Here is a 13028-nt window from a genome sequence, read left to right as displayed (position 1 = left end):
CGGGGTTTCACCATGTTGACCAATGGTCTCCATCTCTTGACCTCGTGATCCGCCCGTCTCAGCCTCCCAAAGTGTTGGGATTACAGGCGCGAGCCACTGTGCCCGGCCCCCTGTATTTTTTAAAGCATTTCTGATTCTCAGAGTCTATAAAAGGGGGAGTAATATTGATGATCTCCTAGGGGTGTTGAAGAACACTTGAGAATTGGCTGGCACATATCAGGCGATTGGGGTCTATTAATTCTCTCCTTCTGTCCTCCCTCCTTCCCTCCCTTTCCACCTGACAAACAAAGTTATCAGTTATTCTAGGGATAAATAACTTTTCAAAACTGAGATATCAGACTAGTGATCCCCATATTTCCAAATGCTAATTGTTGTGGGAATTTTAGGGAGAGGTGAAGTGAGCACGTGAATCTTCAAAATAGCAAAAAGGACAGGATTACACAAGAAAGATCAGCTCCGCTAAAAATCAGCCCCATAAGATTGATGGCTGAACCCTGAAATCAACTGTGTGGAAACTGTGCTGACTTTACAGGGAGATTTTCTTCTTTTTCTGAAGTCACAAAGAATGTAAATACTGTTACAATTATCTCTTATTTTAAAATAAGTTCATTAGAAATCAACTATGAAACCGTTTTGTCATGGTAACATTTTAATTGAAAATTTTAATTACTTTCCTAATATCCTCATGGTAAACTTTCTATACATGTAAGTTTTCATCTTGTTTTGGGTTATTGTGGAAACTTTATATTTTTCTAGAATTCTATCTCAATTTCTCTGCAGACTTTTTAGCTGTACCTGTTTGCATTATTATAGTTTTAAATGGTTTCTCCATGGACTAAGATGCATATTATTACTATTTCATGAGGTCAGGAGTTCGAGACCAGCATGGCCAATATGGTGAAACCTTGTCTCTACTAAAAATACAAAAATTATCTGGGCATGGTGGTGCGTGCCTGTAATCCCAGCTACTCAGGAGGCTGAGGCAGGAGAATTGTTTGAACCCAGAGGCGGAGGTTGCAGTGAGCTGAGATCACGCCATTGCACTCCAGCCTGGGCGACAGAGCAAGACTCTGTCTCAAATAATAATCATAATAATAATTTAGTTCAGCCTAATTCAGGATACAAGATCAGCTGATCTATGTAGGGTTACAGCATAGACATGGGTCTGCAGAGCTACTGCAGAGTAACGCCTTAGAGTTACTATTGTACATTACAACTGTCTATAGGTCAATTTTCTCCCACTCTGTACTTTATGATATATTTGTCATATCTATTTGCCTATCTATGTTATACATCTCACAAGACAATGTTAAAATGATGTAATTTTTGCTTTAAACAGTCATATGTCTTTTAAAGAAATTAGGAGAAGACAACTTTTTATATTTACCCAAATATTTACCATTTCTGATGCTTTTCATTCATTCCTAAAGATCGAGGTTTGCCTCTGGTATCATTTCCCTCCTGTCTAATGAGCTCCTTTCCTTCATTTCTGTAGAGCAGATCTGTTGATGACAAATCACCTTTGTTTTCTTTGATCTGAAATTATCTTTATTACACTTACATTCTCAAAGAATATTTCACTGGATATAGATATCTGGCTTGATTGGTGTTGGTTGCAGTGGTTGTTTTTCTTTCAGTACTTTAAAGATTTTTGTCTCATTGTGCTCTTGCCTTCAAGTTTCTGAGAAGAGGGCAGAAAATTTATTCATTCATTATTCATTCAAAGCATTATTTTCTTGTATATAACGTGACACTTTCCTCTAGTCGTTTTCAAGATTTTCCCTTTATCTTTAACTTCCAGAAGGCTGATGTGCCTAGGCTTAGTTTTCTTTGTGCTTATGCCACTTGAGCTTAGCTGGGTAAATCTGGACACTTTCTACTTTTGTCAAAGTTAGGAACTCTCCAGGCAGTTTTTCTTCAAATATTTTTTTCAGCCATTATCTCTCCACTCTGTGAGACTCTGGTTACACATGTGTTAAATCTTTCGGTATTGTTCTTTAGGTTCTCAAGCCTCTTCATTTTCTTCTCTATTTTTTCTCTTTTTACTTCAGATTGGATAGTTTCTATTGATCTATCTTTCAATTCATGGGTTCTTTCCTCTGTCATCTCCATATGGCTCTGAATTTCCTTCAATAAGTGTTTTATTTCAGATACTGTTGCTTTGATTCCCTTTTATGGTTTCTATTTATCTGCTGAGATATCCTATCTTTTCACTAATTTTGAATATGCTTTTCTTAATATCACATAACATATTTATAGTCACGGCTTTAAACCTTTGTTGGCTAAGTCCAACATCTGAGCTGTCTTAAAATCCCTCTTTCTCTTAAGAATGGGTCACATGCTTGTTTCTTTATAAGTCAGGTAATTTTGCTTGTATCTTGAACATTGTAGTGTCAAGTTCTAGATACTCTACATTCTGTTGTATTTTCCCCAAAGCTGTAAACTTTTTTGTTTTAGCAGGCAATTAACTTGGGTGGATTCCAGCTGTAAACTCTATCACTTGGCTGGCACCTCAAATCTCAGCTCCGTTCCTTTGGCTTTAGAAGGGACTTTTAGAGTCTGTTCTGTGCATTCATAAATCAGATGTTAGCCAGAAATCTGAGCAGAGTTTATACACAGAATTTGTAGCTCTCCCTTTCTGGCTCTCTCCAAGGACATCCTTAATTTCTCATGGCTCTGGTTGCCCTGTCTTCTGGCTCTATAAGCCAATAAGATTGAGGGTTTCTCCATTATTCTCAGCAAGCTAACACAGGAACAGAAAACCAAACACTGCATGTTCTCACTCATAAGTGGAAGTGGAACAGTGAGAACACATGGACACAGGGAGGGGAACATTACACACTGGGGCCTATCGGGGGGTGGATGGCAAGGGGAAGGAGAGCATTAAGACACGTACCTAAGGCATGTGGGGCTTAAGACCTAGATGACGGCTTGATGGGTGCAGCAAACCACCATGGCACATGTATACCTGTGTAACAAGCCTGAATGTTCTGCACATGTATCCCAGAACTTAAAGTATAATAAATAAATAAATAAATATCCAGTAAATCATGCTATTAAAAAAAAAAGATCGAGGGTTTCTTTCTGTTTTTAAAACCCTGTATGCTGTTGCTTTTGGATTGCTTTTTGAAAGCAATCTGTGTTCAGAAAAAGGGGAGAGAAGTCTCCCCACACGGTTTCTTTCTTCTAAATGACAACCCAGAATCTGCCCCCAGAATCTACCTTTCCAGTTCTTTCAAATAGTTATATTTTTATTTTGTTTATAGTTTGAGGTTGGTCTGGTAAGAGCTTACTTATCCCTACTCTGAGCAAAACCAGACCATATATTTGCTTTAGGTTTTCAACTTTGTCACTATAGGGTCATTTTCTCATAATTGCTTTAAGTTTTTTTGATATCTATATTGTGCCTCCATTCTCATTCCTAACCTTTTTGCTCTTTTTTTCCTTTAATCAGGCTTACAACTGTTTTTTCTTTTTCTATTTTGTACAACTTTTCAGAGAACTGCTTTTGGAATTTATCTTTTTTTTCCCCTTTTAATTGTTTCCTTATATTACAGCTTGTGTTTTTGTAATTCTGGGAGGAAAACATAAGAAATAATTGTGCATTAACATTTGAGCTGGACCAAGATTTGAAAGGTAAATTTTTCATCTTAATTCATCTATACCAAGGAGACAGAGGGGTGCTTAGGAGTATAGAGAGGCAGCAGGGGAGGAAGAACCCTCCTACCCACATCCAATGTCTTATTACCATGGACCATTTCATTTGCATCTTAGGACAATTTCCCTGTTGGTTTGAAGTTTGTACACATCTTGCTCTAAAAGGCCTGCTTAATGGCCTTGGTTGAAGCATTAACAACAAACTGGAATAATCCAGCCTAACTTTGACATCAAAGAGGAACAAGGACAAAATCAATGAGACTAGAGCAATGAAACTGTTTCTCCAAGATAACACAACTGGGCTAGAACTAAGGCGTTTCCAAGTGGAACCATGCTCAAGGAATGGACATGGAAGTTACACATGTGGCAAAGGTCTCTGCTTAGAATGGAGCTTTCCTCCAAGCTGATACAATACTGTTGCTTGTGACCACTTACAAAACCTGGATATTGTAAAGTGGTAGCAATGAAACCTCAAAAGGGAAGCTTAGCTGCAAGCATCAGTACTGACCAGCTCTTGAGCACTCCAACTCAACAAACCTGGAGAGGGCAGTACAGCAGGAGGAACAAGAGATTCCTGGTGAGGTCATTCGTGTGCCAACTGCTCCTTATTAACAGACATTTGGGGCCCCTCCTTATCTTGTTTTAAGGAAGATATGCTCCCTCAGCTCCAGCCAAACTGACTTGCTGATTGTCTCTGGGACACGCCTGAGTGTTCAGGGCAAAGCACAGAAGGGATTCCAAAACATGCTGCAGCCCATGAGCAAAGTGCTTTGCCTTGAGAGCACAAGAAAGTCTAGTCCTTCAAGCAAATGAGGCTAAGTGTACAAACTTTAGCTATTTGTGTATGTGCTTTGTCTCCAAGACTTGAAGCTTCATAGAGTAAGGCTCATGCTTTCCTCTATTTTTTGCTGCCTACAGAACTCAGCATAAAGCATATTTGATAAATATTTCTTGATTGATTTCCATCTTCCATATTTTCCCTCTTTTCATCATTCCATATTTCTTTTTATATTTACTCCCATCTTTCATCTCAACTCCACCATCTCTGTTATTCCCACAGACAGAACAACCCAGTCTTTCAGTTGCAAACTTCAGGGAGAAAACAAGGTTTTCTGAGACTGAGACTAGGTTGTCCAAGATCAAACACTAACTGTGACCACTATGACATTTGGAAACACTTTGTGGTGGGCAGAACAGTGACCTCCCAAAGTTACTCACATTCTAATTTCTGGAACCTGTGAATATGTTACCTTACATGGCAAAAGGGACTTTGTGGATGTAAGTTAAGGATCTTGAAGTGGAGAGATTACCCTGGATTGTCCAGATAGGCTCAATGGAATCACAAGTGTCCTTTAAATGTGGAAAAGAGAGGAGAATTAGTGTCAGAGTGATGCACTGTGAGAAATACCTGACTGGCCACTGTTGGCTTTAATATGGAAGGGGGCCATGAGCCAGGAAATACGGGCAAACTCTAGAAGTTGAGAATAGAAGGAAACAGGTTCTTCCCTGGAGCCTCTAGAATAAATGCAGCCTGCCAGCATCTTGATTTAAGCCCATTAAAGCCCATTTCAGACTTCTGACGTCCAGAACTATGAGAAAATATATTTGTGTTGTTTTAAGCTATGAAATCTACAGTAATTTGTTACAGCAGCAGTAGGAAATTAATATATAAAATCTAGATGTTTATTTTGTTCCTGAAACTTTTCTGATTTTTCTGAACTGTAAACTCTTGTTGAGACGAATGTTTTGTAAGTCAAAGAACCCTCTGAATATACTACTTAGTTTTCATAACTACATTATTTTCCTCCTTGGTCTGTACATTGGTGCTTAATAACCTGTGGTTGTAAAATCACCTATAGGTGTCATATCTGACACAGGATGTATCAGCATGAAAGCATTAAAGTCAGAGGGTTTAGGTTTCCTTAACAGGCTATTTTTATCTTATTTTATAATTCTTTATATTTATAATTCAGCAATTTGTGCAAGAGTAACAGTCCAACAATTTATTAACTACATGGACCACCACCAGTAAAGAGAATGGGTGCTGTCTGATAGGCTCTACCAGTGCATGCCAGATGAAAGTCAGTCCTAATCGTGAATGTCCTAACAATTATATTTCTCCTTGCATACAGACAGGGATATGGTCTAATGAATTAATCCTTGCTGATCAAGATAACCTGACAGGCCAACTAGGTTGAAACAATTCTGTTTGATTATACAATGGTGAGAATGCTGATAAAAATAAAAAATTTTAAATTGTACTTTAGTAACTCTATTTCTTTGGACTCTTTGTGTTATTGAATAAATACGTTTGCTAATGGCTTCTTGGTGCAACTTTGCCCTATAGTTGTGAAATGCTCATTGGTAGGTAGGTAGGTAGATAGATAGATAGGTAGATAGATAATTCAGGTTAATAAAGGTGGATCTACCTAGCAGGCTGGCTGAATTATCGGGTTTCCCATCATTACTGCAGCCAGTAGCAACCCTTAGCTTTTGCAATATCTTCCACATCTCACTCTTCAGTTAGAATCTATCATATATAGCATGGCTTCATAAAAATTCCCTGCCAGAACTTCTACTCAAATATAGTCAAAAGAGCTGGGGAAGTGAATTCCAGAAGTCTGGACCTGATATCAAGAATCTTTAAAGTACAAAAGAGAGAACTAAGCATTGTTGGCAGAAATACACATGTAATTGAAACTGCCATAATGGGAAACTACCTAGAGAAATAATAATCCCCAAGGGAATTAGGTCTCATCTGTCACATTAGGGTTTCATAAAACAACTCAGACAACATAAGTAGGAATCTGATGAGTCATTTAGGAAGTTAAGAACAAAGGGGAACATTTAGGCAATGGTTGGTGCCAATTCAGGGAATACCAGGGGCTACAGACACAGTGGTTGGGAACCCAGTCTCCATGGATGAGAAAAAGCCTGTCAGTGCTTGGGAGAAATCTCTGCACTGGGCCAAATGCCGACATGGCAAACATTGCTGTTGGACTTCAGTCTAACCCCTGCCCCCACCAGAAACTTCTTGGGAGCCCTAGTGGCCTTACATTGTCTCTTGGATACCCAAGACAGGGAGATGACTTGTGTGAACCTAAACTTCTCTGACTATGCTACTTTTCCTGAAATGTTTTATCTCTCCAAGTCATTGCAAATAATTAGTAGATACATAACTGCCCTTACCACTGCCAAAGTCTATTATTACCTGCTTCCATTCAATTTATTCCCCCATCAAAACCAGACAATTTCCCTAATAACAATTCTGATCAAAAGTCACTTTCTTTTTCTAATACCTTTGAAGGATCCTCTCTGTATCTGTAACAAATTCTGAACTCCTTAACCTGGCATCAAGCGCCTCTAAGAGTTGTTTCTCATCTTATCAGCCATGGATTGCCATCATTTTGCTCCAAGTAAAGGGGATCTTTCTGTTTCCCCTGCATGCTTCCTGTGCTTCTCCACACCTCCATGGAACCCTTTTGCCTTGATTGTCTTTTTCTGTATCTGCATTTTAGAGTTGTTCACGGCCCACTCTAACACCACCTTCTCCACCATTCTCCTTTCTTCCTCTACATCATTCAGAAGTTATAGTTCCTACCTTTGAACTCCAATGTCAGCCACATCTCGATGGTATCACTTTCCACTATGGTCCTTGTGCACAGAGTTCACTCAAATTGATAGATTGTCAGAATAGAGGGCTATCTTTGAGGTATTCCTGCATCTCCCACCTAGCAGAGTGCCTTGCTCTTAGGCGCTTAAAAGAGAGTTGCTGAAGAAAATATCCTAAAGTGTTTATTTACTATGCTATCCCACTCTAAAATTATAAACATGCATTTTCATAGGTATTTTAATTCCAGATAAAATAATGTAACCCAAAGTCATAATGTGGGACTTTTCAGGAGATGCATTTGTGAGGTATTTTGGGGAAGGTGAGAATGTTCCTCCATCAATCATACCTTATGGCCCCCGTGTCTTCACTTACAAGCAATAGCCACCCTTGCAAAAAGTCACCTCACGACCCCTCAACACACTTCTCACCATTGTAGAAGAAGCTGGCTCCTGGAAACGTAGCTGAAGCAGACACTGTTGGTTTATTGGCCACCAGTCATTTCTCTCTTCCTTTACTTTTTGTTCAGGTCTTTGCCCCTCCTTTACATGACTCAGAGAGCAAATCTTCATTAATCTTAAGTAGCTGTTTCATTTCTCATGTCAGTGATTGGTTCAGAAAGAAGCCTGTTTGGGGGGTTCTAAGAAGCTGTCCTTACTTATTAAAAGAGGTACACAGAAAAGGCAGCCTCTCTTCTGTTGGACATCCTCTAGATGTCCCATAGATCACGTAAAGTCCAGACTGTCTATTCTATGGATGTCAACTACTATAAAACTGTCAAATCTCATAACTTCATAACTTTAGACTTTATTAATTCGATATTGTCTGTAAGACTGTGGCTGAACTAAATTTCATCTTTTTTCTCAACTTTTATTTTAGACTTGGGGTATATGTGCAGGTTTGTTAAAGGGTATATTGTGTGATGCTGAGGTTTGGAGTACAATTGAACCCATCACCCAGGTATTGAGCTTACTGAGAGTAAACTTCCCAATAGGAAGTTTTTCAAACCTTGTCCCCCTCCTACCCTCTCCTGTAGTCCCCAGTGTCTGTTTTTCCCATCTTTGTGCCAGTGTGTACCCAGTGTTTAGCTCCCACTTGTAAGTGAGAATAAGCAGTATTTGGTTTTCTGTTTCTATGTTATAAATTTCATCTTTGATTAAAAGAATCTTGTAAAACCAATTCACAGTGTGCATAGCATTTTAGGAAGCATTGTTAAAAAGTGAGTTACTAAGTAGGATGATGAATAAATGGATGGATGAATGACATTATATTTTGTTCATTCATTAATTTAACTATGAATTGATGAACCCTCTTCAGCTATGATTACCAAGTCCTATCTGTCATCCTGGAGGAATTGTGAAGAATCACTAAGAGTACATTATGTCAAAATAACCTTGTTGATTTGAATATGCCTTCTCCCAGAATGATGGATGAGACTAATGCTAAACACAATGAATCTGAATTTTTTCAAGGCTTTTGATATACCTTTTAGTGTGACATTTCTTTCAATAACACTTTTTGTACAAAACAATCTATAATTCAGTTTTCATTAATTAACAACAAGAACAGTCTCAATCCAGGACTGAGATTGGATTTCTTCTCAATAAGTCAAAATTCATGAGATGTAAACTTACCTTTTTGGGTAAGTACAGCATAAATAACTAGACAATGTGACAATGATTGATTCTTATTTCTTAAAGGACTAGAAGGGGACAAAGGAGGTAAAATAATGATGATGAGTTTTATGTGAATCATCAGATTTGGTCCATATGTCACAGTAGTTCCCTTCCTCTTCCCAGAAATGCTGTTGGTATTAATTTGGACATTATAAAGCAGCTGAGCTTTGGAAAGTCTGTACATCATAAGAATCAGCAAATGCACAATACAGTAATCATCACATGAGTGCAGCCTATCACAGAGTAGCACTCCTGAAAAAATCAAACAGAGGGAGGGAGAGAGTCAGGCTGGTGGGTTCATCCCTTGGACATCCTTCTTGATGGGCAATCAGCTAGTTTTAAAAATCTGGGCTCCACCAACTGGCATCGGTTGGTCAGGAGTGATTTCTTCCAATGCTGCTTCCATGATGCAAGCAAACAGACACCACTTTTGTTCCACTGTATCCCCACGCCCTGAAACTCACAAATGCCTTCTTGATGGGCTGGCTCCTGGAACTGTATAGCCCCCACAGCTGATTTCCTTTCTGGCAAGATGCCTCCTGGTAAACATCACTGGGTAAGCAAGAGGATATGTGGGTCCAGAGCACTGATATAGGGCTGTGATTCAGATTATGCCTTTGGTCATTGGTCATCATTGTCTTCAAACTGCATATTATGAACACCAATTGTATTGGGGACTGTTAGGTATGGAGGGGAAGGCTTGTTATTTTCTATTCAGGGAACAGTTATTAGAGTTTACCGTCTTCAGACTTCTATTGCTATATCTTGGGAATGAAAGGAAGAAAGGATGTGGACTGGAATCTTCTGTGCCTGGAAAATAATAAGAAACTTGATTGTGGCTCAGCTGTATCGTCACCCCTGCTCTCTTGGCTGTTGTTTACAGAACTCAAATTGGAAGATAAGCATATTCCTTATCTTAGGGCAGTTTTCTCAGATGCAGATTCTGAAATGAAGGAGAGAAGTAGAGGAAGATGGATGATGGGCAGGGAAGGGGAAAAAGCCAAGCAGGGGACCGTGGTTTATGAGAAATTTCAGAAAGGGGATGTAGGCCTGATCCTGCAGGAAAACTCCAGAGTGCGAATCATGTCTCCGAGTTTTTCCCAAACGAGGCAATGGATCCGAGCTTTCCCTCTCCTTTGCCAGTCATTGGCTAATGGCTGTGCAGGGAGGATGCAACCCCTTAGGCACTTCTGGTTTTCAGGCTTGCAGACAATGGGGCAGTCCTCTGAGAGAGTCACAAGGGTGAACCTAGAAACAAAATCACAGAGAAGCTAGGGGAAAGGCACACCAACATGGCACAATGGATCTGAGGGGACGTGAGAAGAGCAGAGAAGTGGCCACTACACTACTGGTCAGAGATGCCCATCCTTTAGCCAAAGGTTGTTCTATATAGCTGTCAATGCCTGTCACAGGAGCCTTTCAGATTATGGTTTTGTGAGAGTCAACGCTAAAACCTAAATACAATAGGATTAGTACATACGTAGTGCAAATTATAGTCTATACTTGAAAACCGATGGCCAAAATACTTTAAGGAATCTTGAAAACCATTAGAATTATTGGCATTTGATTTTGTCATTTTCTCTGCATCCCTGACCCACCAAAGTAGTCTCCTTCACTTGTTTTAGCTTGGCCAATCCTTTATATGCATAAATACATCCTCCTCCAGAAAGGCCTCCCTAATGCAGTGAGATGGCAGCACTATTACCTGCACTTCTACCATTTAATGGACACTCATGTTATTCATTTTTATGTAAATATTAATTTTCCAAACTGACTGCATGATCCTTGAAGACAGGGATTTTGCCTCATCCTTCTTCTTATCCCTACTCCTCCAGCATCCAACAGGGTGCCCTACAGTCCATCATGGCATGTGAATGAACACTTAATGATTGACAAGCAGTCAAAGTGAATGTCCAACTAGTGCTACGTGATCATTTTCATTTCTTATACTGCTTATGAAAACTGTTGATAAGATACTAATCAAAAACATATTTCATTGAAAAGAGACCATTTGCAATATATGTTACCCTTCCTGTTGAATTTCGGGGACCTTGATGTTACTCAAATTTAGACAAGAATGACCAACTCATTTCAAGATAGCTATAGATATGGATATGGATATAGATATATACACATATACACATGCACCAGAAAGGCAAGAGGTGGTGCATTAGAACAAACACGGGACTGGAATTTGGGAGATGCCAATCTCATATCAGCACTGCTCCCATCTCCTTATGAGGCCTTCCTTAGCCATTTCATACCTTTGCACTTCAGCTGAAGGAAATATACTACATGATCTCTAAAGTCTCTTCAACCCCAAAAGTTCTACTAGTTGTGTTTTCTTTATTTATGAAGGAGTGGAATCCAAGAAGACAAATATAACCCTTGCTTCAACTCTTGCTTCCTCACTGTGCTCAATAAATATGTATTCACAATGATGTTATGCCACATGTCTAATCTTGAAGTTGACTTATGGTCCACCCAGAGGGAGGAAATATGTGAAAGGATTATTAAGGGATAAGAGAAGGAGCTAACAACAGAAGACATTGTGGAAAGTTATCTATTCATTCATCAAGCATGTGTTTAGGACCTACTACATGAGAAATTGGGTTAGATCCAGGAGATCTGAAGGAGGCACAGTCCTTGCTTTTATGGAACTCCTAGATTGATACTTAGAACATTTCATTCAATTGGGAGAAAATAGTGGAGGTGATTTTGCTTTTCATTGAGGTAAACCCTACCAAAAACATTTCATTATTATTAGCTCTTCTTCCATTCATATTTTGTGCATCTGACTTTCTTTCTTTCTTTCTTTTTTGAGATGGAGTCTCGCTTCTTCGCCCAGGCTGGAATGCTATGGCCCAATCTCGGCTCACTGCAACCTCCCCCTCCCAGGTTCAAGCAATTCTCCTGCCTCAGTCTCCCAAGTAGCTGGGATTACAGGCATGTGCCAGCACTCCTGGCTAATTTTTGTATTTTTAGTAGAGACGGGGTTTCACCATGTTGGCCAGACTGGTCTCAAACTCCTGACCTCAAGTGATCTGCCTGCCTCAGCCTCCCAAAGAGCTGAGATTACAGGTGCGAGCCACCGCACCCAGCTGACTTTCCTTCTTTCTAATATTCTAAAGAGTACTGGACTCTGATCCAGCATCCCCGGTTTCTAGTTTCAGTTCAGCTGCAAACTGTGTGATCTTAGGCAACAAGGCCAACCCCCAATGCTTAGTTACCACATCTCTTCAAAGAGTACCGAACACTTGTTCCTCATGCCTCAAGCAATTTTTATCAGGACGTAAAGGTATTCAGGACAACAAAAAAAGTGTATAAGAACTATATTATATAAGATGATTTTATTAACTAGTCAACAATGATGTCATTCACCCATCTGAAGTTGCCTCTTCTCCCTCAAAGGGAAAAATATGAATGTTTAAGTTTTTTTATACAGTAATTTATTTTGCAAGTTGCATTTTTCCTTTAGTATACTGGTTTATTTTCTGCATTTTGAAGAACAATTAATCTAGTTGCTCATCAAATTACTGTACAACTTTATATATTATATTATTTCATTTCCTTATTCCAACTCAGAAAGTATGGAGATCTATTTCTATGGAATGAGGAAGGAGGATATGCTAAGTTTATTTAATAAAGACTCATGAAAATTTATCCAAAAAAATTTCCCTTCTAGGTCACAAAAATATGATCTCCTGCAAATAGCTGAATCTAAAAGACCCATCAGATGATCAGAGAGTCACTGAAAATGCTTACTAAACCAACCCTTACTCTAGAAATCAGGAAAAGAAAGAAAACTTGAAGAAGCTCAGATTTGACAATTCTGACATTTGGAAAATCAAGTCAGCAAAGAAAGCTGCTGTCAAAGAATGTGAGCAAGGCCATTTACAATGTAACCATACCTACTCATTCAGCTCTGTATCCATTCACTCTCTCCTTCAACATTCATTGAGCATCAAGCATGTGAAAGTGCTGCACTTGGTACTGAGCAGAACACCAGGCTCTCACTGAATGCTCTCATCACTGGTGGAACGGTCTATTAGCAAAATCGCAGAGCAGTGGAAAATATTAAAGCA

The 13028-nt window shown here is 39.2% G+C and overlaps 2 long non-coding RNA genes across 2 annotated transcripts in view; both read right to left on the bottom strand.

The window, feature by feature from the left end:
• LINC02107 (long intergenic non-protein coding RNA 2107) overlaps nucleotides 1–13028 on the bottom strand; it is a 158236-nt gene that overhangs the window by 22477 nt on the left and 122731 nt on the right. The window lies entirely within an intron of this gene.
• LINC02119 (long intergenic non-protein coding RNA 2119) lies at nucleotides 7741–12976 on the bottom strand. Its single transcript, NR_134272.1, has 2 exons — nucleotides 12855–12976; nucleotides 7741–10191 (listed from the first exon to the last, which is right to left on the bottom strand). It is a non-coding gene; the product is annotated as a long intergenic non-protein coding RNA 2119 (long non-coding RNA).

The sequence above is a fragment of the Homo sapiens genome, chromosome 5 (assembly GCF_000001405.40).
Source record: "Homo sapiens chromosome 5, GRCh38.p14 Primary Assembly".
NCBI lineage: Eukaryota > Metazoa > Chordata > Mammalia > Primates > Hominidae > Homo > Homo sapiens.
Note: the sequence above shows the minus strand (reverse complement) of the source record. Positions and strands in the feature narration are given on the sequence as shown.